This window comes from Homo sapiens, chromosome 4 (genome assembly GCF_000001405.40).
Source record: "Homo sapiens chromosome 4, GRCh38.p14 Primary Assembly".
Classification (NCBI taxonomy): domain Eukaryota; kingdom Metazoa; phylum Chordata; class Mammalia; order Primates; family Hominidae; genus Homo; species Homo sapiens.
In genome coordinates, this window is record NC_000004.12 from 76,599,321 (window position 1) to 76,621,628 (window position 22,308).

Sequence of the window (22,308 nt, forward strand, 5' to 3'; positions counted from 1 at the left end):
ATGAGCAATTGATATGAAAGGAAACTGTAGGATCTTTTGCGTTGTGATCCCATTCAAGCACAGCAAAATCCCCTGTAGTGGATAATCTGCCCATTCAAGATAGGTCAGAGAGTAATGCCCAGCTGCAGAAAGCTAGTTCATCTCCTTTATTCTTTCTTTCAAGATGAAAATAATATAAATCTAGGGTATCTTAAACCCTTTCTCATTGTTTTTGGAGAAAGCAGTTTTTTGTTTTGTTTCTGATGGTGGACATGGCAGCAGCATTCTTTCTGTCTCCCTGTGCTCATCATGACGGTGTCCTAGCACAGGCTTTGAAGTTGAATGGTCCTGGGTTTGAATTCCTAGTTCATCACCATCTGTCACTTTGGGCAGAATACTTATCTCTGTGAACCTCATCTGTAAAATGTAGGGAAATACAGTTTCCTCATGGAGCTGTTACGAGGGTTAAGGAAAGTGGAGTGCTTGGCATAGGACCTGCAGGCCACATGCTGGTCACAAGTGGTGGCTGTGGAAATGGACTTTGTTGGTGCTACTGTACTTGTTATTAATGCCAGTGTTCAGATATCAAGAAAAGATATGGCACCTGGAATCCCAGCACTTTGGGAGGCCAAGGTGGGAGGATTGCTTGAGCCCAGGACAACATAGCGGACCCTATTTCTAAAAAAACATTTTTTTTTTAAATTAGCCAGGTGTGGTGGCACAAGCCTGTTAGTCCCAGCTACTCAGGAGGCTGAGGTGGGAAGATGGCTTGAGCCCAGGAGGTCAAGGCTGCAGTGAGCCATGATTGTGCCACTGTACTCCAGCCTGGGTGACAGAGTGAGACCCTGTCTCCAAACAAACAAACAAACAAAAACCCAAAAAATAAACAACCAACTTGCTTTTGCAGCCTTTGATTATTCCTTGGGCCTGCATCTATTAGATGCTGATTGTATATCACGTTGCCTTCTTTATGGGTTAACCTGAGGAGAAAGAGTTCCATGCCACGTGAGTCAAAGAGTAGGTTATATACATGGCTTGCTCCTTCCTGATGTGTCTTGAGATACTGTGCTGATTATGCTTGGGACAGAGAAGCATACCATTAGACTATTGAAATCACTGGAAAGAAAGCAGAAAACTGTGGTACTTTCAGCTTTCACATGATCAAGGTGTTTTCCTAGGATACAATAGGCCACTGAAGCTACACTTGATATTACATTAATAATTCAATAAAGCACATTAATTAACTACCAGTCCATGGCTTCAGCAGCTAATAGCACCTAAAGAAAATGTACTTCAACTTTCTTATCAAGAAATGGTCTTGATAAGAGACCGGGTGACTGTAACTTTGGTCATTGCTCTGGAATGTTCCTGATGGTGCTGCCAGTTTTCATTGCCCATAGGTGCAATATGGAAATTTTTATAAATGCTCTCATTTGATGCTTTTACAGATTAACAACATTTTTATATTGTATTGTAACTGAAAACAAACGAGTATTTTTCTTATCTCACCTGTAGAAAAGGGAGTGGTGAGAATTCAGGAGTTAATATTGTAAAAATACCTGAGATAAGAAATACATGTTTAAGTATTACTGGTTTTGATTGCCACTGAATCCTCATGAAGCAACCACAAAAATCAAACAGAATCAGGGACTAGGAAAAGTGGAAAGTCTGTATTTTTATACTACTCTAAAATCTATTAGGTTGGTGCAAAAGTAATTACAGTTTTCGCAATTACTTTAACGGCAAAAGCCACAATTACTTCTGCACCATCCCATGCCTTTGAGAAGGAAGATAAGTTTTCAGAGTGTTTAAAATTAGCCACCCATAGTTTGCTGTAAAACAGAAATAAAATTTGGTGACAGTTAAAAATTTACATCAGTGGTTCTCAGCTAGAGGCGATTTCCCTCCAGGGGACATTTAACAATATCTGGAGACATTTTTAGTAGTCACAACTGTGTGTGGTGTGGGGAGGGGGTCGTGCTACTGGCATCTAGTGGGTAGAGGTCAGAGATGCTGCCAAAATCCTGCAATGCACAGGAAAGGCCCCCCAGTAGAGAATTACCTGGCCCCAATTGTCAGTAATGCCAAGGCTGAGAAACACTGAGTTAAATAACAGCTGTTGGGAGCTTCTACCACTGGACTGTCTCTTTCAGCAAGAAATTAGCCATCCTGTTAATTGAAATTATTTTCCTCAGGTTATGTAAGGAAAATATACTCCTTTGCTTTCTTTTTTATTTATTTATCGTCCAGGCTGCAGTGCAGTGGCGTGATCTCAGCTCACTGCAACCTCCGCCTCCCAGGTTCAAGCGATTCTCCTGCGTCAGCCTCCTGAGTAGCCGGGACTACAGGTGCGCCACCAAGCCCAGCTAATTTTTTGTATTTTTAGTAGAGACAGGATTTCACTATGTTGGTGGCCAGGCTGGTCTCGAACTCCTGACCTCAGGTGATCCATCCACCTTGGCCTCCCAAAGTGCTGGGATTACAGGTGTGAGCCACGGCGCCCAGCCTTACTCCTCTACTTTCTTATAGGTTTAGTCTGGACTATCTTCTTTATATATAGCTCTCAAATTGTCAGACAATTCAGTCCCCAAAGTCCTCAGGCCAGATGCTTGAAAGATTGTGACTGCAAAAAAACAACAACCAGGTTGATTCAAGGGTTCACTTCTCAGCTGATTGGTTCAGCACTCTGTGGACACACAGCTGTTTTGTGGTGATAAAGAGAGCAGAAGAACGAAGTTGGTTGAGGAAATGCCTTCACATTTCAACACTCCCCTTCAAGGAAAGGGAAAGCTGGCTTTTCAAATACTTGCCAAGTGTGAAGCCATCCAGGAGCAATTACAGAACGTTCCTTTCAATCTTTCTCCTCTGTTTTCCTTGACTTATTTTATGAACTATTTATTGAATACTTACCATCCCAATCCCTATGATAAGTACTGCTCCTAATACAAAGAAAACTCAAATGATTTTAAGAATAACTAAAAAAAAATTACAAAGTCCTGTAGGTCATCACCTACAGGAAAAAGAAATGTTGGACAAAGGATTTCTCTCCTAGATTTTATGTATTTATATCTTACAACATATAAAGTTAAGTCCACATTTTTCTATGCATTTGTCTATTGAAAACTGTTAAAATACAGAAATTTATAATAAATGATACAGCCATATGTTAATTTTCTTGATTTTTTTTTTCGTTAGAATTCTTTTGCTTTATCTTGAAAGATTACCCAGTTCTGGGGCTTACTAGTGGCAATATATTGATATATAGTAGGCAAAATTAAATTTAATTACAATAAATAAACTTCATTATATGAAATAGGTTGGTGTTAAATTGGATCTCTCTTGGTCCAGCCCTAGGAAAACAAATTACTTTTCATTATGATAAATGTGAATGTATCTCCAGATACTTCAGTGGAACTCACTGTATAAATACGACAGAAGAGTTAGGAAGGTGGACCCTGGAGCCAGACTGCCTGGATTAAAATCCTGGCTCTGCCACTGACACTCTGTGACCGTGCAACCTTAGACAGATCACTTTCCTCCTGGTGCCTCGGTTTCCTTATCTTCAAAATGAGGATAACAGTCATAGTATTTTTCTTAGAAGGTGATTATAAGAATTGAATGAGTTATGCATGTAACTAGCACATAGTAAATGCTCAAGATACATTATTTTTATTGTCATCATTATTGTTGCATTGTATTTTATTTTTCTGTATTTGTACTAAAGATGGACTGATCGATAGACCCATTGCAGCTTTCCCAAGTGTAATGTGGTATAAAGGCACTTAATTCTGATTCCACATGTTCCTGGAGATAGTTATCTTTTAAAAACACATACTTGGCTGGGCGTGGTGGCTCACACCTGTAATCCCAGCACTTTGGAAGGCCGAGGAGAACGGATCATGAAGTCAGGAGATCGAAACCATCCTGGCTAACACGGTGAAGCCCTGTCTCTCCTAAAAGTACAAAAAATTAGCTGGGTGTGGTCGCACGCACCTGTAGTCCCAGCTACTTGGGAGGCTGAGGCAGGAGAATCACTTGAACCCGGGAGGTGGAGGTTGCAGTGAGCCAAGATTGGGCCACTGCACTCCAGCCTGGGCAAGAGAATGAGACTCTGTCTCAAAACAAAAACAAACAAACAAACAAAAACCCACAAACAAAAAAAAACCGTACTTTGCAACTAACAGGACATCTATTGATTGATTTATGATCAAAGCCTCTGACTTTCTATGTAGTATGACCATATAAAGTAATGGAATAAGACCACCATCTTGTATTCTTTCTTTTCTTCTTCTTTTTTTTAATATTTTAAGTTCTAGGGCACATGTGCCCACATGCAGGTTTGTTACATAGGTATACATGTGCCATGTTGGTTTGCTGCACCCATCAACTCGTTATTTACATTAGGTATTTCTCCTAACACTATCCCTCCCTCAGCCCCCAACCCTGCAAAAGGTCCTGGTGTGTGATGTTCCCCTCCCTGTGTCCATGTGTTCTCATTGTTCAACTCCCCTTATGAGTGAGAACAAGCATCTTGTATTCTTTTTTTTTTTTTTTTTTTTTTGAGATGGAGTCTTGCACTGTCTCCCAGGCTGGAGTGCAGTGGCGCGATCTCAGCTCACTGCAACCTCTGCCCCCCTGGTTCAAGTGATTCTCCTGCCTCAGCCTCCCGAGTAGTTGGGATTACAAGCACCTGCCACCCCATCTCTTAGTAGAGATGGGGTTTCACTATGTTGGCCAGGCTGGTCTCAAACTCCTGACCTCATGATCCGCCCACCTCGGCCTCCCAAAGTGCTGGGATTACAGGCGTGAGCCACTGTGCCCGACTGCATCTTGTATTCTTAAGCCTGTAGAGCATCTCAGTCTTCAGGCAGCCAAGGACATTTATTAGAATTGGAGCCTCTGGCTGCCTTGGAAGAGGATGTTTTCAACACTTTTAGCCTGTTGTAATACTTGGGGGCTACTGGTTGATTGTGCTTTAAAGGATGTTGATATCAAATATGGTCTGGCTATATTTATGCCAAGTTGCTGACATGTTGTATAATATTTATTGTTCCTAATGCATGATAGGATCAAAATGCTGTACACAAACAGGTAAAGATGGTTTTGCAGCTTTGGGTTTTCAATTTATTTTCTAGAACATGTCTCACTTGCTTTCCTACATAAAGACACATGATTGCTTTTGAGCTTAACTAAATTTAGTGTGGTATCTAAGTTGTCTGTGTGTTATTCTGGTGAACAAAGGCACTTGATCAAAATGATCTCTTCAAAGTTGGAATGCCTTCATTAAAATGTTCAAATGGTAACCGTCCACCTGAAGGATGCCATGAAAATATTAGAAATCATTGTTTTTTAAGCATTGATGTTGATAATTGTTAGACAATGTCTGAAACTTTTGAAATCACAACCATCTAAGGCAGTATAGGAAACAGAAATAGCAGGGATGTTGAAACACTAAAATAGTAAGTTTTGTAAGACAAAAGTGACCTTGCGTTCAAAATAAGATTTCTAGGAATTTATTCTGTTGATTTTAGATTGAATTTGTAGTAAGTAAACAATTAGCTGACTATATAAGGCTAAGGAGTTACTTATCTATGAAACCAAAAATGTGAACTAGTTTATCTGTAGGGTCCATTTTGTCTCTAAAATGCCAAAAATCAATCTAATATATTTCCCTGGATTGAATTCCTCAAGGGTCAAGGTGCATGCACCTTTGATATAGTGCTGAATGAAGCATTACTAATAAACATTAAACTGATTTGGATTTAAATACCTCTTACACAGCTCAAATGCAGGCTTGAAAAGTAATGTCCCCATGGCGGTAAAAGCATCAGTATGAGTGTACGTGTGGAAAGATTTGTTGTAGGAAGATCAGTCAGCCCTATTTCATGATGACTTCAATGTTGTCGGTGCAGCAGTGGAGTCATGGCCATGACAGCATCATCAGAGTGAACTTTAATTAAAAACAAGTGGAGAAATCAACAGCTAGGATTTGCCCGGGAAATACCTAAATGACATACAGCCCGGAAGAGGATTTCGAGGCACCATTTTATTGCATTCTAGTGGGAGAGAACAGTTCTCATTATAAAAATTCTAAGAAAAGTTGGAAAAATAATGAGCACCATAAATTAGATTTGAACTAGGCATGCCTTTTAGCCTCAACACATCCCATTTTGTATCCCCTTAAACTGTCAGAGAACAGGCAGGTATGACTCATTCCTCTAACTTGGGTAAGCAGAAATTAAAATAATCCTATTTAAGAAATAAATAGCAAAAAGGAAACTATAAATAAATGGTCAAATAGAATTGCTTAGTTGTTGAGAGAACTATGTAACTCAGCTAAGTGACAACAAAGGGAAAAAACCTAATTAAGTTGCTGAAGAGGGGGAAAATATTTTTTCAGTGGCATAAATCCCAGAGCAAAAACAAAAACAGAAAAAATGAAAAGATGTATGCTTTTAAATAGATGGAAAAAATCCTTGTTTTCTAAAATGTGACCTTAAAGACCCTTGGTAGAAATTCTAATAGCTACCATTCAATTTCTTTCTATAACACCTTTGATACAGAATCACTCTTTATCATTTCATAGTTCCAAAAATGTATTAAAGGCACAATTTTCTCTCTCTCTCTCTCTCTCTATATATATATATACACATATATATATACATATATATACACATATACACACACACACATATATATATATATATATTTTTTTTTTTTTTTTTTTTTTTCTGAGACGGAGTCTCACTCTGTTGCCAGGCTGGAGTGCAGTGGTGCAATCTCGGCTCACTGCAACCTCCACCTCCCGGATTCCAGCGATTCTCCTGCCTCAGCCTCCTAAGTAGCTGGTATTACAGGCGCCTGCCACCACGCCTAGCTAATTTTTGTATTTTTAGTAGAGACAGGGTTTCACCAAGTTGGCCAGGATGGTCTCAATCTCTTGACCTTGTGATCTGCCTGCCTCGGCCTCCCAAAGTGCTGGGATTACAGGTGTGAGCCACCAAATACTATATATTTTAAACAAACAAATACTTTTAAGTGTTATGCTTACTACCGACTGCTGCTTACCAGTGTGGTGCATGTTAGCTACTCTGAATGTTGGTTTTTTATCTGTAAAATGATAGTAAAGGCTGGGTGCAGTGGCTCACACCTGTAATCCCAGCACTTTGGGAGGCGGGTGGATCATTTGAGGTCAGGAGTTGGAGACCAGCCTGACCAATATAGTGAAACCCCATCTCTACTAAAATACAAAAATTAGCCAGGCCTGGTGGCAGGTGCCTGTAATCTCAGCTACTTGAGAGGCTGAGGCAGGACAATCACTTGAACCCTGGAGGCAGAGGTTGTAGTGAGCTGAGATCACACCACTCCACTCCAGCCTGGGCAACAGAGCAGGACTCCCTCTCAAAAAATAAATACATACATACATACATACGTACATAAATAAATAAAATGGGAGTAAAAACCTTTACCTCTAGAGTTCCTGGGAGTATAAATTACATGCATTATACATTAAATTACATACATAGTATTGTACTGGGTAGCTGGCAGGAGTCCAAAAAATGCTGTAGCAGCTTGTAGAAAGTGGTCTTGGTATGCTAAACTCTACTCTGACTCTGACAATTTCCATATTTTTTACCAAATCAGCTTACTGTGCCTCAATTTCAAAATCTTCAAAAATGGCAGTGTGTTCAAAAACTGTGTGTGTGTGTGTGTCATATTTATATGTATGTGTGTGTGTGTGAAACATTTGAGATTTGCAGTGTGCTCAGGAATATAAAGCATCTTGGGAAAAAAGATGCCATTCAAATACAAACAAATACTCATCATTTCCTCCAGTTTTATTGACTAAAAGCATCAGTTGCAACATCTCAAAATCTGATCTATTTCTGTTTTATGGAACTAAAGCTTGATTTAGTACATATTTTGTGGTCCTTCTGGGTCTAGGAGATGAACAGACTGAACTGGAAATAAACAAAGCCAAGAATCTTAAGCTAGAGGGTAGAGACCTATTCACTCCCACACTCTGAGGAATTTATGACCAGTAAGTTGCTCTCTAATGAGTACAGAACAAGAGCATTGCATCTTCTCTTAATTAGTTTGACAGATATTCATTTAAATTTGAAAAGATTCCCAGACGTGGGATAGCAAAGGAAAGTCTTGAATTCCTTTTGCATCTTAATTCTGTTTTTGTTATGGTGGCTCTGGGGAATGTCAATATCTGAAGACAAATAAAAACTCATGTCTTCATCCAGGGACCTCCGCATTTTCTATTTATTACTGGCCACAAACCACCAGGTTTCAGTTTGCAGCTGTAAAGTCTAACACAAAAGCAACAGGTTCTGCAATAATGCTGTTGGGCCTGGTTTCTATGAGGGGTGCATTTTTTTTTTCTTGTGGTTAATAAAGGACAGGGTTTCAAGGCAGGCTTTAAATAGCCATCTTTACATCAAAATAAGTCACCACGTGGGCATCATGAAACCATGAATTGTTTTTACCCATAGGGCATAGTTACCACTAGCCCCTGGTAATCCATGGAAATGAGTAACTGGGAGACCTTATATACTCCCAAGCCATTTTAATCAGTAGTAACATTAACCTTTATGAAGGTTGTTAAAATATAGCAAGAGTGCTGATGACTTACTTCACTTTATCATGCTTTAACCTCTAGCTGTGCAGGCTGTTCACTCCAAAACAGTGCCCAGTTAGGTAGCACCAGGGGCCTGCAACCCACCCCTACTTCACTGGCCTGGCCAGGCATCTGTGAGGCTGACTACATAGGCTGAGGGATGCCTTCTCCTCCTGCAAACAAAGAAAAGCCTCATATGGGCTGGTTGTGGACTTGACTGAATAGAGCTGCTATTGAGGAAATGTCCAAGCATACACAACCTTGGGAAGAAGGCACAACACTTGCCTAATCTACCAAAGCACAGTTTTTAGCTCTCGAGGGAGCGCATTCGTTCATCAGTGAGCCTGGTCCAGCTTCACTTTGGCAAGTGCCCCCCACCCTGTCTCTCTCCCCTCACTACCATTTTCCCCATTACCTTAGAGCAGATTCCTTTTACTAATCAACTCATCTTAATGAAGCCAGAATGCAACATTCAAGGAAAGTTCTGATTTAAAGAAAAAGAGGCAGAGCTTGCAAAGCATCACCTGTTGTTCTCTCAGTCCATTGGCCTGGTCATTAGATTATACTCTCCGGAAAGCTGATTTGATTGATTGGACAGAGATGGCATAGCATAGCATAGCATAGCATAGCATAGCATAGCATAGCATAGCATAGCATAGCATAGCATAGCATAGCATAGCATAGCATTGGACAGAGATGGTATAGCATAGCATAGCATAGCATAGCATAGCATAGCATAGCACAGCATAGCACAGCACAGCACAGCACAGCACAGCACAGCACAGCACAGCACAGCACAGCACAGCATAGCATAGCATAGCACAGTGTCAGGTTAGAAGGCCTGGGGAAAACCCCTGCTTTACCACTTAGTGGAATAACCTTGAGCAAGTTACTTCATCTCTTTGAGAATCCATTTCTCCCTCAGTAAAACAAGAATGATAATATGAGACTTGGGTGAGTTAATACATGTAAAGTGCTGAACACTTGCTATGGAAAGCAGTGGTTCTCAAATCTTGGGCCCTGGACCAGCAGCATTACCTGGGAACTTGTTAGAAATGCAAATCTCAGGTCCCAAATAAAACTTAGGGGTATAGGAGAAAATACTTGCAAATAATATGTCTGACAAGGTGTTAATATCCAGAATATTTTACTAAGTGAATTAGGATATACAATTAACAAGAACACTTCTCTAACCATTCAACATTTAGGAAAGCTTGTATATGTTTATAATTTCCTGATAACTGAATGGAGAAGTGCAGTTATTTCATTTCTGGAGTATACATTGAACCTTGCAAATTCAAGTAATCTTTTTCCAGGCCTCTAGTACATCATAGTCCATATAGACAATCTGTTTTGGTATGTTTGTTTGTTTGTTTGTTTTGGAGACAGGATCTTGCTCTGTCAGCCAGGCTGGAACACAGATCACAGCTCATTGTAACCTCAAACTCCTGGGCTCAAGCAATCCTCTTGCTTCAGCCTCCTGGGTAGCTAAGACTACAGATTTATGCCACCATGCCCAGCTAATTTTTGTTTTTGTTTTGGAGAGATAGGGTCTTACTATGTTGCCTAGGCTGGCCTCATGAGATTCTCCTGCCTCAGCCTCCCAAACTGTTGGGATTACAGGCGTGAGCCATTGCAACTGGCCCTCAGAATCTGTATCTGACCATGTTTCTCTTCAGGATCAGAAGTCTTTAAAAAAGAAATGTGAAAAAACAAATTACGTTGTAAACTCTTAGTTTCCTTTCAAATGACCCCAGTCTATCAGAATAGACTAGATGTTAAGAGCAGTGTTAGCAGGCAATTAAGTCTTTTGTGCCCATCCACCACTTCCTAACATTTACCTAAATAGAGAGTCTAGAATATCATGTTTACACCATTATGTATTCTGTCTGGAAGTAACAATATAAAAGATAACATTAATTTACTTTTTTTCAGTAGATGCTACTGAACTGTGAACATCTTATTAGGCTCGAGTTTAGATTTTCAAACTTGTCTCAGGAAGCTGTTGCTACCTGGTACCCATTTTGTTTTATTTTTATTTATCTTTTGGAGGACAAGGAGAGAATGACTTTGAAAAATCTCCTGGGCAAGAAAGGGGAAGACTTTTCTGCAAGGAAAATGGATTGTACTTTGTTTTCCTTCATAAAGGGTAATGAGGATATAATCTCAAAGCTACGCTTGACCATCATCTGTCAAACCAAAGCAAATAAGCCAGTGCCTGTCTTTCCTTATTGTAAAACTAAAAGAGAAGATAACCACCATGTGGCAGTTGTCTAGCCAAAAAAAATCACCCTCATTTCAGAAAATGTTTACTTTTTCACTCTCATTGAGTGATATGCCATCGAGGTATGAGTTAGATGTTGGCATTTTGTGGAAAGGTTTTCTTTGTTTAGCAAAATCACAGCTGTTCATTTCTGGTAATTTTGAATTTCCTAAAAAGTGGCCATAGCTTCAGAATTTGATTTTTAGTAACCTTTAGCAGACTGAGAGTTTTTCTGGTTTGAAGATTATATTGAAACACCAAAAAAAAGTAGAGTGGTTTGTGTTTTACTTTATGTATTAATGTGAAATTTGGAGATGAAGCCTCTTGTTGCTGAAATAACTGCATCCCCTCGTCTTCCGCTGTCCACTTTTATATATTTCCTAAATATCCACAAATCTTGATACACTCTTGTAGTGATTTGATTCTTGTTTTGTTCATATGTGTGTTTTTTCCACTAATGTACACCTTTGGGAATCCACTCCCAGCCTTTCCATGATTTCTTCTGTAATTTGGGTTTTATTTTTAAAGCTGTTGGCATCCGTGTAGAGGGATCCTGCCGTTACCCCTCTCCAGATCTTAAGGTTATCTCCCTATTCTGTTGATTGAGAGATCCAAAGTCAAAGGTGAGTCAGGGATTTCGTGTGCAGGTTCTCACTGATGAACATGTTTTCTCCAGACCCAGCTGGGGGGTTAAGATTCAGGCAATTGGTGACGAGAGGGGCTGCTTTCCTCCAAGTTCAGTAGCCCTCCCTCAAATGAGAAACTATTTCACAACAATCTCAACCCATTTGTCCTCCACTGTGGATAGGGATGGGGGAGGGGCTTGCTTGAAGAGTTCTAAGGTGATTTTTTTCCCATTAAAAAAATTGCAGTAAAGTATACATAACATTAAATTGACCATTTTAACCATTTTAAGTGTATAATTTGGTGGCATTAAGCACCTTCACATTGTTGTGCAACCATCACCACTACCAATCTTTAAGTGAGTTGAAGATGATTTTTTTAAAGTTACTTCTTGCCTCAGCTCCCAAATTCCAGTTGACTTTGTGCGCCCTCTCTCTGTGTCTCTCTCTCTCTCTCTCTTAAAGTCTGCGTTCTCATTCTGATTATTTAACTTGGAGAGTGTGAAGGATTTTTTTTTTTTAACACTGCATGATGAATTGGTCTCAGTGGAATTCAAACGATCTCGTTGTTTTGGTTATTTCTTATCGGGAATGCTGGATTTTTTTCTAAGAGCCATGGCAGGGGTGAAGGGGCACAAGGGAGCCACCTCCTTTTGAGTCAATTTAGCAAAAGTGAGAAAACGGTGGGGTGATAGGAAGTCATTCCTGGATGCTAAAGGGGCATCCTGGCTCCCTGAAGAAACTGAGACTCCCAGTTTTTACGTAGTGAACTTTCTGGCTGTAATTTAGGGCAAACTCCTTACTGTTTTTATATTTGCCCTCCATTGATAAGAACTTCTTAAGGTCACAGTGTCCTTGGGTAATGAAGCTAGGCAGAGGAAAGTTCTTTAATATTTACCTAGTGTGCACGCCATACCAGGAACTCTACAAGGAAACACACGGAACATGCCCAGCCTCTGGATCAGCCTGACTTGGGGAGACTGCCCGTCAGGCACACCCTGTGCTGGCTCCAGCTTCTGGAGTTTCTGGCGAATCATACCTGAAAGGATTATCATCTTCACCCAGTGTCCGGATCATCAGCCATGGAAGTTTGTTTGTTCAACACAGGCTGAATCAGTTCCATGTTGAATAACACACATTTTCCTTCTTGAAATATTCTTAGAACAATGTTTTCATTTTCTCCAAGGAAAAACTTGCTCAGACACAGTTCTTTCTGATCCAAACCCCCTGCTTGCCTCTGCCTCCTCTCATTGTTGTAAAACCCAAGTGTTTCTATTCCTCTACTCTAAACCCGCTCAGAGGGAATTCTGCCTTTTGATTTGGAGGTATATTTTTCCATCCACATATGGCAGTATCCAGTAATAATATTATACATCTAAAGGAAGGAGCAAAATTTTAATCTGTGTGCAGCTGCATGTATCCTGCTTCTCTCCTATGGCAGGATTTTCTAGTTAAACCTCTGGCTAGTTGGAAGATGATATTAGTTATAGAACTAGTTTGTTTAGCCAAAAAAGATATAAGTGGAAGCAGTACTCATGATATAGAAATACTTAAAACTTTGGAGAGACAATCTGAAGACCTAACTGGTGTGTTAGTCAGTAAGTTTTAACTCCCTTTAAATTGAGAATGAATCCCAGGGCCCAACATTATGAGATGCTAAGTAGCTTCTAAAGGGATTACTGTCAGACTTAAAAGTGTTTTCTTTTGGCCAGAGCTTTAGTGGTCTTCATATAAAATATCAGCTGCTATTATTATTAAACTTTCTATACTGAAAAATAATGTAGTATAATAATGATATTATTTCAGGCAAGATTTAGTTACATGTTACAAATACTTTAAAAAGTAGGCTGGGCATGGTGGCTCATACCTGTAATCCCAGCACTTTGGAACACTGAAGTAGGAGGATCCATTCAGCCCGGTAGTTTGAGAACAGCTTGGGCAACATAGCAAGACTCCATCTCAATCAATCAATCAATCAAGAAGCCGGATGTGGTGGCATGCTCCTGTAGTCCCAGCTACTTGGGAGGCAGAGGCAGAAGGATCACTTGAAGCCAGGAGTTTGAGTTTGCAGTGAGCTATATGATTGCACCACTGCACTCTAACCTGGGGGACAGAACAAGACCCTGTCTCTAAAGAAAAAATAAAAGTAGACACTATTGAATAGCCAACTAAGTTAGAGTTGAATCCATGTAATATCAGTCTATCCCAGCATCTTATGAGGTGGGTAAACACCAAGTCAGTCAACTTCTATGTTATAAAAACAAAACAAAACAGAGGCAGAAGGGAGAATTCCCAGCATAACGAGTTGGTGGGGGCATTGTAGGATAGGCAGGTGGTTCAGCGTTCCTCCTCAAATATCCCTAACTCCCACCTCACCACTAGGTCCAGTGCAGGGAACTCTTCTACAGTATTTCTGCTTACCCAGCCTCTCCTTGCATGGTTTCCCACTACTGGACAAGTCAGTTCATTTCTTATCTTCATGGCTCTAATTGTTAGAAAGTTGAAATTGTGAGTCCTCAACACTCCACCTTCAATAATTGCTGTCCATACTCATAGCCAAGACAAGCTGTTATTTTATGCTGTCAAGTTTTAGAACACATGCAGAGCTCACATAAAGCATTTACCATGGATTGTTAGTGTTTTAGCAGAGTTGAAAGGAGTCAAGTACCAACAGTACATGAGAAATATCTTATCCGTCTCATTAACACCTCCTTTGCTTTGATAAAAAGTCCTCAAGTGGTCTTGGGAACATACTACAGATGTGCAGTTCGGCATGGAAATTGGAAAACTCAGATAGGGCTTCGATGGAAGTCACCCATTCAAACCTGTCTTCAACTTCCATTCGACTCCTCTTGTTATAATGTTGATAGCAAGGAAGAGAGGGCCATACCTAGGTTCAAGTAGTGGGCATATCTGAGAAGAGGGCTGGGGGATAGCTGGTCACTCAGCTACAGCTTTTTATTGGCCATGCTGCATGCTCAACTTCACTCCTGAGGAAATGGGATCAAGAACAACACAATATCACTTTTGCTCAGCAAGCCACTATATCATATAATCACAGAGCTAGAAGGTCAACCCCCGTATTTTACAGATTGTAAAACAGATTTAATAGCCTTTGACAGAAGGTTTGTAAACCTAAATGGCTACAGGACCAAGAAAGAAACACAAATGAATGAAATGTTCCAGGCGGAAAATCTAAATGGCCCCTTTTTCGTTTTTTGTTTTGTTTGTTTGTTTGTTTGTTTGTTTGTTTGTTTGAGACAGAGTCTCTCTCTGTTGCCCAGGCTGGAGTGCAGTGCAGTGGCGAGATCTCGGCTCACTGCAAGCTCCGCCTCCCGGGTTCACACCTTCTCCCGCTTCAGCCTCCCGAGTAGCTGGGACTACAGGCGCCTGCCACCATGCCCGGCTAATTTTTTGTATTTTTAGTAGAGACAGGGTTTCACCATGTTAGCCAGGATGCTTTCGATCTGCTTATCTAGTGATCTGCCTGCCTTGGCCTCCCAAAGTGCTGGGATTACAGGCATGAGCCACTGCGCCCGGTCCTAAATGGCCCTTTTTTCAAGAACACAATGAGGAGTGGTGAGGACTGGGGCAAATGGAGGACTCGTGCCCCATCTAAAGGAGTCAGCTGCTTCTCAACTCTAATAGGTTATTTTTATTTTTATTTATTTTTTATTTTACTTTAAATTTTGGGATACATGTGCAGAATGTGCAGGTTTGTTACATAGGTATATATGTGCCATGGTGGTCTGCTGCACCCATCAACCTGTCATCTAGGTTTTAAGCCCTGCATGCATTAGGTATTTGTCCTAATGCTCTCCCTCCCTTTGCTCCCCACCCACTAACAGGCCCTGATGTGTGGTGTTCCTCAATAGGTTCTTATGATGAAGGAATGCAGACCCAGTGTTGCCAGAAATCTGGATTTTTAAGTGAACCATCACAAATGACTCAATTTGAAATTTTAAAGCATTATGTGGAATAACATGGTATAGGCCAACCAAAACAAGCCTGGGAGTCAAATGCCATTTGCAGATGCTGGCCTGGGGTCAGAGAGGCTCATGGAAGGGTTGTGTCCTGAATAAGGCATTTGAGATGGGACTATGAATGAGTCCAGATGGTTTTCTACAATAGGCCTTTGCCAATCCCTTCCCTCTTCTCCAGAAAAAAATTGAGCTATGATTTGTGCCATTCTGGGAAAAATGACTGTTGCCCTCTGAGATCAAGGAGCTTATCAGGGTGCAGAGGAGGAAGCTAGCTGAGAATGGGAGTGTGGAGCATGGATACAAAAGCAGCAAGGACAGAGCATGAACACAGGAGGCACAAAGTTCTAGCACATTTGAAGACACGCCTAAACTCTTGCCATTAGAACCTTCAACATTTTTCCCCTTTTCCCAAAATCGTCCCTTTGCTTACTACATATTGTCAGTACCGCCTTCAACCAAAAGCATAGTTAATGGATTTGATATCAACGCTCTCAAGTCTTAATACACCGTGTTACCTGTGACTTCGACTGACATATCCTTTCCAGGGGATCAGATGGGAAGGGTGCCTGACAGGAACACTGGAGAATTTCAGTCCTGATTTGAAATGAATGATTTAAGCCAACTGATGCCGAAACGTGGTGTGTTCAGAGGACCCGCTGGAGGAATGCAGCGTTGTGCCTCTCCCCATTTATCATGGTGTTTACAAATCCTGTTAGAAGTTGAAAGTAAATTATCATCCTGCTCTTAATGACTGTTTTTTAGCTAAGAATTTTAGAGGTGATTGAGAGTGAACCCATCACTGTAGTCATGTGAAGGAGTGGAGGGAAAGGAGTGGGGGAGGCACCCAGGGCATGCATAATACTTGATCTAGGAGAGGTGCTCATGGCCAGGTCTGGAAAGTCGGAAGCACCTCTCCTTCAGATCATTCCTGTCCCAGTTGGATGGCTTATAAAATGTGGGGTGTTTCACATTCACATTCACTGGGATTTGAGTTTTGATCAGGAGACAGGATCAAAGAATCCTCAGTTTCAGATATGTGTACAAATATGAGTGGTGCATCAAGTGAGGAAGACAACGCCTTCGCTTCAAGGAACTCCACGCTAATCTCCTAGGCTTCTCAGTCATCATATCTGAGAATATTTATCTTAGAGGAGAGAAGACTCAGAGGGGTTGTGTCTGCCTTCTGATACTTGAAAAGACCAGTATGGGAAAGCAGGATTAGACTCCAGAGGGCAGAATTAGGACCAGTGGGTTAAAGTTAAGGGAAGCAGAAGTCAGTTTGACATTAGGTTTGACATTAGATTCTTTGAAAATAAAAAAGGCCTGGGGTTGGACAACACTTTGGTAGCAGATGTTCTAAAAAAAACATTGCAGCATCATACGGGGGTTAGGTAAGACGAAGTTCCTGTTCTCATTTAACCTTGAGATTCTGTAATTCGAATCTGGTTTGGAATCTTGAATGGACCAACCCTCATGCATTTCCTGCCTCCTGGATCATAAATAATGTTTTTAAAACAATCATCTGGAAACAAATTACATAAACAATAATCTGATTTGTACACACATGTTCATAGCAGCATTATTCACAATAGCCAAAAGGTGGAAGCAACCAAGTGTTCATTGATAGATGAATGGATAAACAAAATATAGTGTATCCATTCATATGCATACACACACACACACAATGAAATATCATTCAGCCTTAAAAAAATGAAATTCTGACTCATGCTATCCCATGGATGAAACTTGAGGATGTTATACTAAGTGAAATAAGCCAGTCACAAAAAGACAAATACTATCTGATTCCGATTATCTGAGGTACCTAGAGTAGTCAAACTCATTGAGAGAAAAAGTAGAATGGTGGCTGTCGGGGACTGGGTAAGTGGGGAAAGGGAGAGCTATTGCTTAATGGTGACTTTCAGTTTTGCAAGATGAGAAGCATCCTGTGGATGGATAGTGGTGATGGGATGCAGCAATATGTTTGCACTTAACACTATGAACTGTTCCCCAAAAAATGGCTCAGATAGTAAATTGCATGTGTATTCTACCACAATTTAAAAATACCTAAAGAAATAACAATAATTGGTCTACCAATTGGACTTCCCTCCTGCAGAAGTTAACATGGAACAGATAGTGAAGTTAAACACATAATAAAAGAGATACAAAATGTGAGCAAATCTCAGAAGTCAAAATTAAATGAATGTGTATTTAAAAATCAACCTACTTTGCATTTGAAAGGTGAAGTAGCACTGTATTTTAACTGGATGAGTATTACCCGCACAGGCTAATGGTGCGGGTGAAGAGCCTGGTGAAGAGCACAGGCTCCAGGGCCAGAATCCTGGGTTCAAGTCCTGGCTCTGTCTTAGACTAGACCTTGGGAAAATTACTTAATCTTTCTGTGCCTCAGTTTCATTATCTGCAGAAATAGAGTTATTTGTGAGACAAGTAAGAGAATGTATAAAACATTTAGAACTGAGCATGGCAGATCATAGATTAATAATGCTAGCTGCTGTTGTTGTTATAAGGCAGAATGAAAGGCTGTGTTTGGAGTTGACCTGATGTATTAACTTTTACTCATTTTTTCCCCTAAAGAATTTATTTAATTCACATAATAACCATGTTGGTGTTTGAATGATATATAATGCTTTAACTGAATATTTTTCTGTCCCAGTGGGTGACATTATGAAAATAATGAGACTGATGATACATTAATACAAAGAAGTTTTTGTAATCTAAGGAAATTTACTTTTGACCACAGTCAGATATTTTTCAGGCTTCAACTTTGTAGACTTATGCTAAGATGTATGACTACTTCATTGCATTACAGAAATGTAATTTAATCATCTAAGGGTTTTTGGTTTGTTATTAAAGTTTTAATTCTCTAAGGTATAGTGTGAGGCTAATAGTGTTTTCTGAGTTCCAGGAATTGACCTATATTTATTGTATTTTTTAACCAATAATTAACACATAGAATATTAATTAAAATATGAAAACTAAATTTAAGGTACCTGGATAGTCCTGTAAAATCTAAAACTTTTTTAACACTAAAATATTAACTGTTAGAATGAGAATTTGAAACTTGTAAACACATAAGGTGTTTGTTTACTGTATATTAGGTTTGAAAATTATGTATACATCTATCTCCACATTGGTATGATTTGAGCTGAGCTTAGAAACAAGATGCTGGCAAGCATGAAAAGTTGAACATCATGAATATAAGTGTGGCTGGGCGCAGTGGCTCACGCCTGTAATCCCAACACTTTGGGAGTCCAAGGCAGGAGGATTGCTTGAGGCCAGGAGTTTCAAACCAGCTTGGGCAACACAGGGAGACTCCATATCTAAAAATGAAAATTAAAATAATTAGCTGGGCGTGGTGGCATGTGCCTATAGGCCTAGCTACTTGGGGAGGCTGAGGTGGAAGGATCACTTGAGTCCAGGTGTTCAAGGCTGCAGTGAGCTATGATCATGCCATTAAACTCCAGCCTGGATGACAGAGGGAGACTGTCTCTAAAAAAAAGTAATTAATGTTGTTAAAACCACAACTCTTACATAAGCAGTTACTATATTAAAGATGTATGCAATGACTATTCATTCCTCAAATATTTTTTGATTCCTTGTTATGTGATGGGCTACCCTGCTTACCAATAATACAGATTGAGGACTTAATTTTTTAAATCTTTAAACTTTTTATTTGAAAATAATTTCAAACTTAATAGGAAAGTTACAAGAGTAAGAACAGTACACAAAGCACTCATTTACCTTTTATCCAGTTTCACCTATTGCCCCCATTTGCTTTATCACATAGCCTATGTACTATAATATTTTTTGAACCACTGAAGATAAGTTAGAGTATGGCCCTTTTATGCCTCAATATTTCAATGCATATTTCCTAAGAACATGGATATTCTCTTTTATAGCTACAGTATAATTGTCAACTCTAGTAATTTTAACATTGATGTAATACTTTATTTTCTGAATTTCTGTTTTGTTAGTTGACTCAATAATGTCCTTTATAGCTTATTTTTTCCTTCCAGTACAGGATCCATTCCCAGGCCTGGTATTGTATTTAGTTCTCATGTCTTTTTAGTTGATTTTTTCTTGAGACGAAGTCTCACTCTGTTGCCCAGGCTGCAACCTCTGCCTCCCAGGTTCAAGTGATTCTACTGCCTCAGCCTCCTGAGTAGCTGGGATAATAGGCACCTGCCACCATGCCCGGCTAATTTTTGTATTTTTAGTAGAGACGGGGTTTCACAGTGTTGGTTAGGCTGGTCTCAAACTCCTGACCTTAAATGATCCACCTGCCTTAGCCTCTCAAAGTGCTGGGATTACAGGCATGAGCCACTGTGCCCAGGCTTCTTTTTCATTTCTTTTAATCTGGAACATGTGCCATCCTTTCTTTAATGAATTGTGATTTTTGAAGAATATAATCCTCCTTGTTTTCAATAAAGGACAAAGAACACTTAATTTGACTTTCTGACCCATATTGTGTTTGAATGAAAAATGATTTACTCTGCTGGATTCTCTGTGGAGCCCCGTGATCACAGTGCTGAGTCCCTGTGTCATGGTACTTCAGCTTGGAATATGAGGTTTCTAAATGGACCAATCCAGTCTTGGGAGAGCAGCCTGCTCTTAAAGAGGGTTATTGACCAAATGTCTTCACATTGTAGTGAAATTTATAAACATACAAGCATTTGCCTAAAAATTTCTGAAATACTGAGTAATCCCATGGTCTTTTATTCAATTATTTTCATAGAAGTGTGAAAGCAAGCAGTAAAAGAGCTGAGGGGTGTATCCAGAAGTTCAGTGGAAACATGGGGATACAGACTTACTATCTAATGAGAGGCGAGCTACTGTTTTTATTGTAAGAGACAGAGCTGTAATGGTTTAGAGGAAAAGTGGTGAAGATTTGAATTAGGGGATTGTAGTAGAATGAAGTAGAGGGGACGGTCACACAAACCCAGAGGGCTTTAAGAAACAATAGGATTGGCCAGGCGTGGTGGCTCATGCCTCTAATCCTAACATTCTGGGAGGCCGAGGCGGGTGGATCACCTGAGGTCAGGAGTTCGAGACCAGCCTGGCCAACATGGCAAAACCCTGTCTCTACTAAAAATACAAAAATTACCCAGGAGTGGTGGCACATGCCTGTAATCCGACCTACTCGGGAGGCTGAGGCAGGAGAATTACTTGAACCTGGTGGAGGGGAGAGGCAGGAGTTGCAGTGAGCCAAGATGATGCCACAGCACTCCAGCCTGGGCAACAGAACAGGAATCTATCTCAAAAAAAAAAAAAAAAAAAAAAAGAAGAAAAGAAAAAGAAACAATAGGATTTGATCACTAATTTTTTGTGAGGGATGTTTGAAGCTCATCGACTTGTGGAATTGTGAGGTTGTTAGTAGAAATGGGCAATTTGGGAAGACAGTCTGGGACTTTTTTGTTTGTTCTGGGAAAAGGTGATGATTTTGGTCTTGGAGAGGTCTTGGGCTCTGCTGATGAAGGTGTCCAACAGGCAGTTGGAAATGTAGAATAAAGCCAAGGAGAGCATCCAAAGACATATTAGAGATACGGGAATTATCTACATAGAGGGTGACCATTAAAGATGAGAATGAATGGGATCCCCAAGGGCGAGAGCAGAAGTGCCCAGGAGAGGAGGGCTGGTACCTTGGTACTTACAGGAAGAAGTAAACCTAGCACAAGTGACAGGTGGAGGACTAATAAGAACACATTGTTTCAGAGGCCAAGGGAAGAAAGTTTTAGACGGAGGGAATGGTTGGCAATGCCAACAGCAAGGGAGTGTGTGGACACTGAGAAGAGGCAGGCAGATTTGGCAATTGAGGTGGAGCCGTTTGGACAAACTTGAAAGCCCGACTACAGGGGATTAATAAATGTGAGTGGAGAACGGTGAGGCAGAGGCGGAAAGGGCAGGGGGCTGTGTGGCAATGTTCAGCTCTAGAGGCAGTGAAAAGATGGGAACTTAGGGTCACCAGGCTGAGGAACCCGATGACCATCTTCCTGTGTAACGTTCAGTCTTTCATTGTAGTGAGGAGGCATTTCTCCACTCTTTAATGACTCTTTTAAATCATTCAACAGTCACTTCTACCCAGAAGCAGATGAAAGGATGAAGGGGCACTTTTCCCTGGGTCAGCAGAACAGCACCTTATCAGCACCATTATGTGATCTGAAGGGACTAGGATTAAAACCCTTAAGCATCCTGCCCTCCAGGGAAATGTGGAAACCTGAAGCAGCCCCTTATAACAGAAAGACTCTAGAAAAGTAAAGCTGGTTTCAGTGGGATTTCTGTGGTTTTCTCCATTGATTTTTCATTTCCACCTCCAAGAGCCTTTTATTGCCAAGTATTAAAAAAAAAAACAAAAAACTTCCTGTCAGTCAAGGGCAGAGTCTCAGCACTGCAGAGAGCCTCACACTGGGCTAACACCTGTCCCAGGAAGTTACCGAATGACAAGCTAAGGTGATCATCAGACTGTTCCAGAAACCCTATCAGGAGCTGCAGAGTCACCTGGTACATTAGCCCAGCAGGCCCAACATGTCCCTTCAGAGAGGCTGGACTAACGCTGATTAAGAGAAAACACAAACAGTACAAAGAAGGATTGCTAATAGGAATTATTTTACACACCTTTCTAGTTCACAAACCACCACCTTTGCACCAAAGCAAACTTGGGCTATTGAGCCTTGGAGGTTATTTATTTGTATGTGCAGGGCAGTGGTTTGGGTGAAGCTTGATTTTCTCACCATCATTCTTTCTTTTTCCTTCCACCTTAGGGAACAAACAGACCCTCTGTCACATTTTTATAAAGAGTAGTTGTCCTGGTGTTTTCAA

At 40.4% G+C, this 22,308-nt stretch overlaps 1 protein-coding gene and 1 long non-coding RNA gene across 2 annotated transcripts in view; one reads left to right on the forward strand and one right to left on the reverse strand.

Annotated features, from left to right (window-relative positions):
* SHROOM3 (shroom family member 3) overlaps positions 1 to 22,308 on the forward strand; it is a 348,025-nt gene that overhangs the window by 164,092 nt on the left and 161,625 nt on the right. The gene's annotated exons all lie outside the window — the stretch shown is intronic.
* The window catches only part of LOC105377290 (uncharacterized), a 32,582-nt gene continuing 26,049 nt past the window's right edge, over positions 15,776 to 22,308 (reverse strand). The window contains exon 4 of the long non-coding RNA XR_001741404.2: positions 15,776 to 16,183. This is a non-coding gene — a long non-coding RNA (uncharacterized LOC105377290). The remainder of the gene's footprint in view (positions 16,184 to 22,308) is intronic.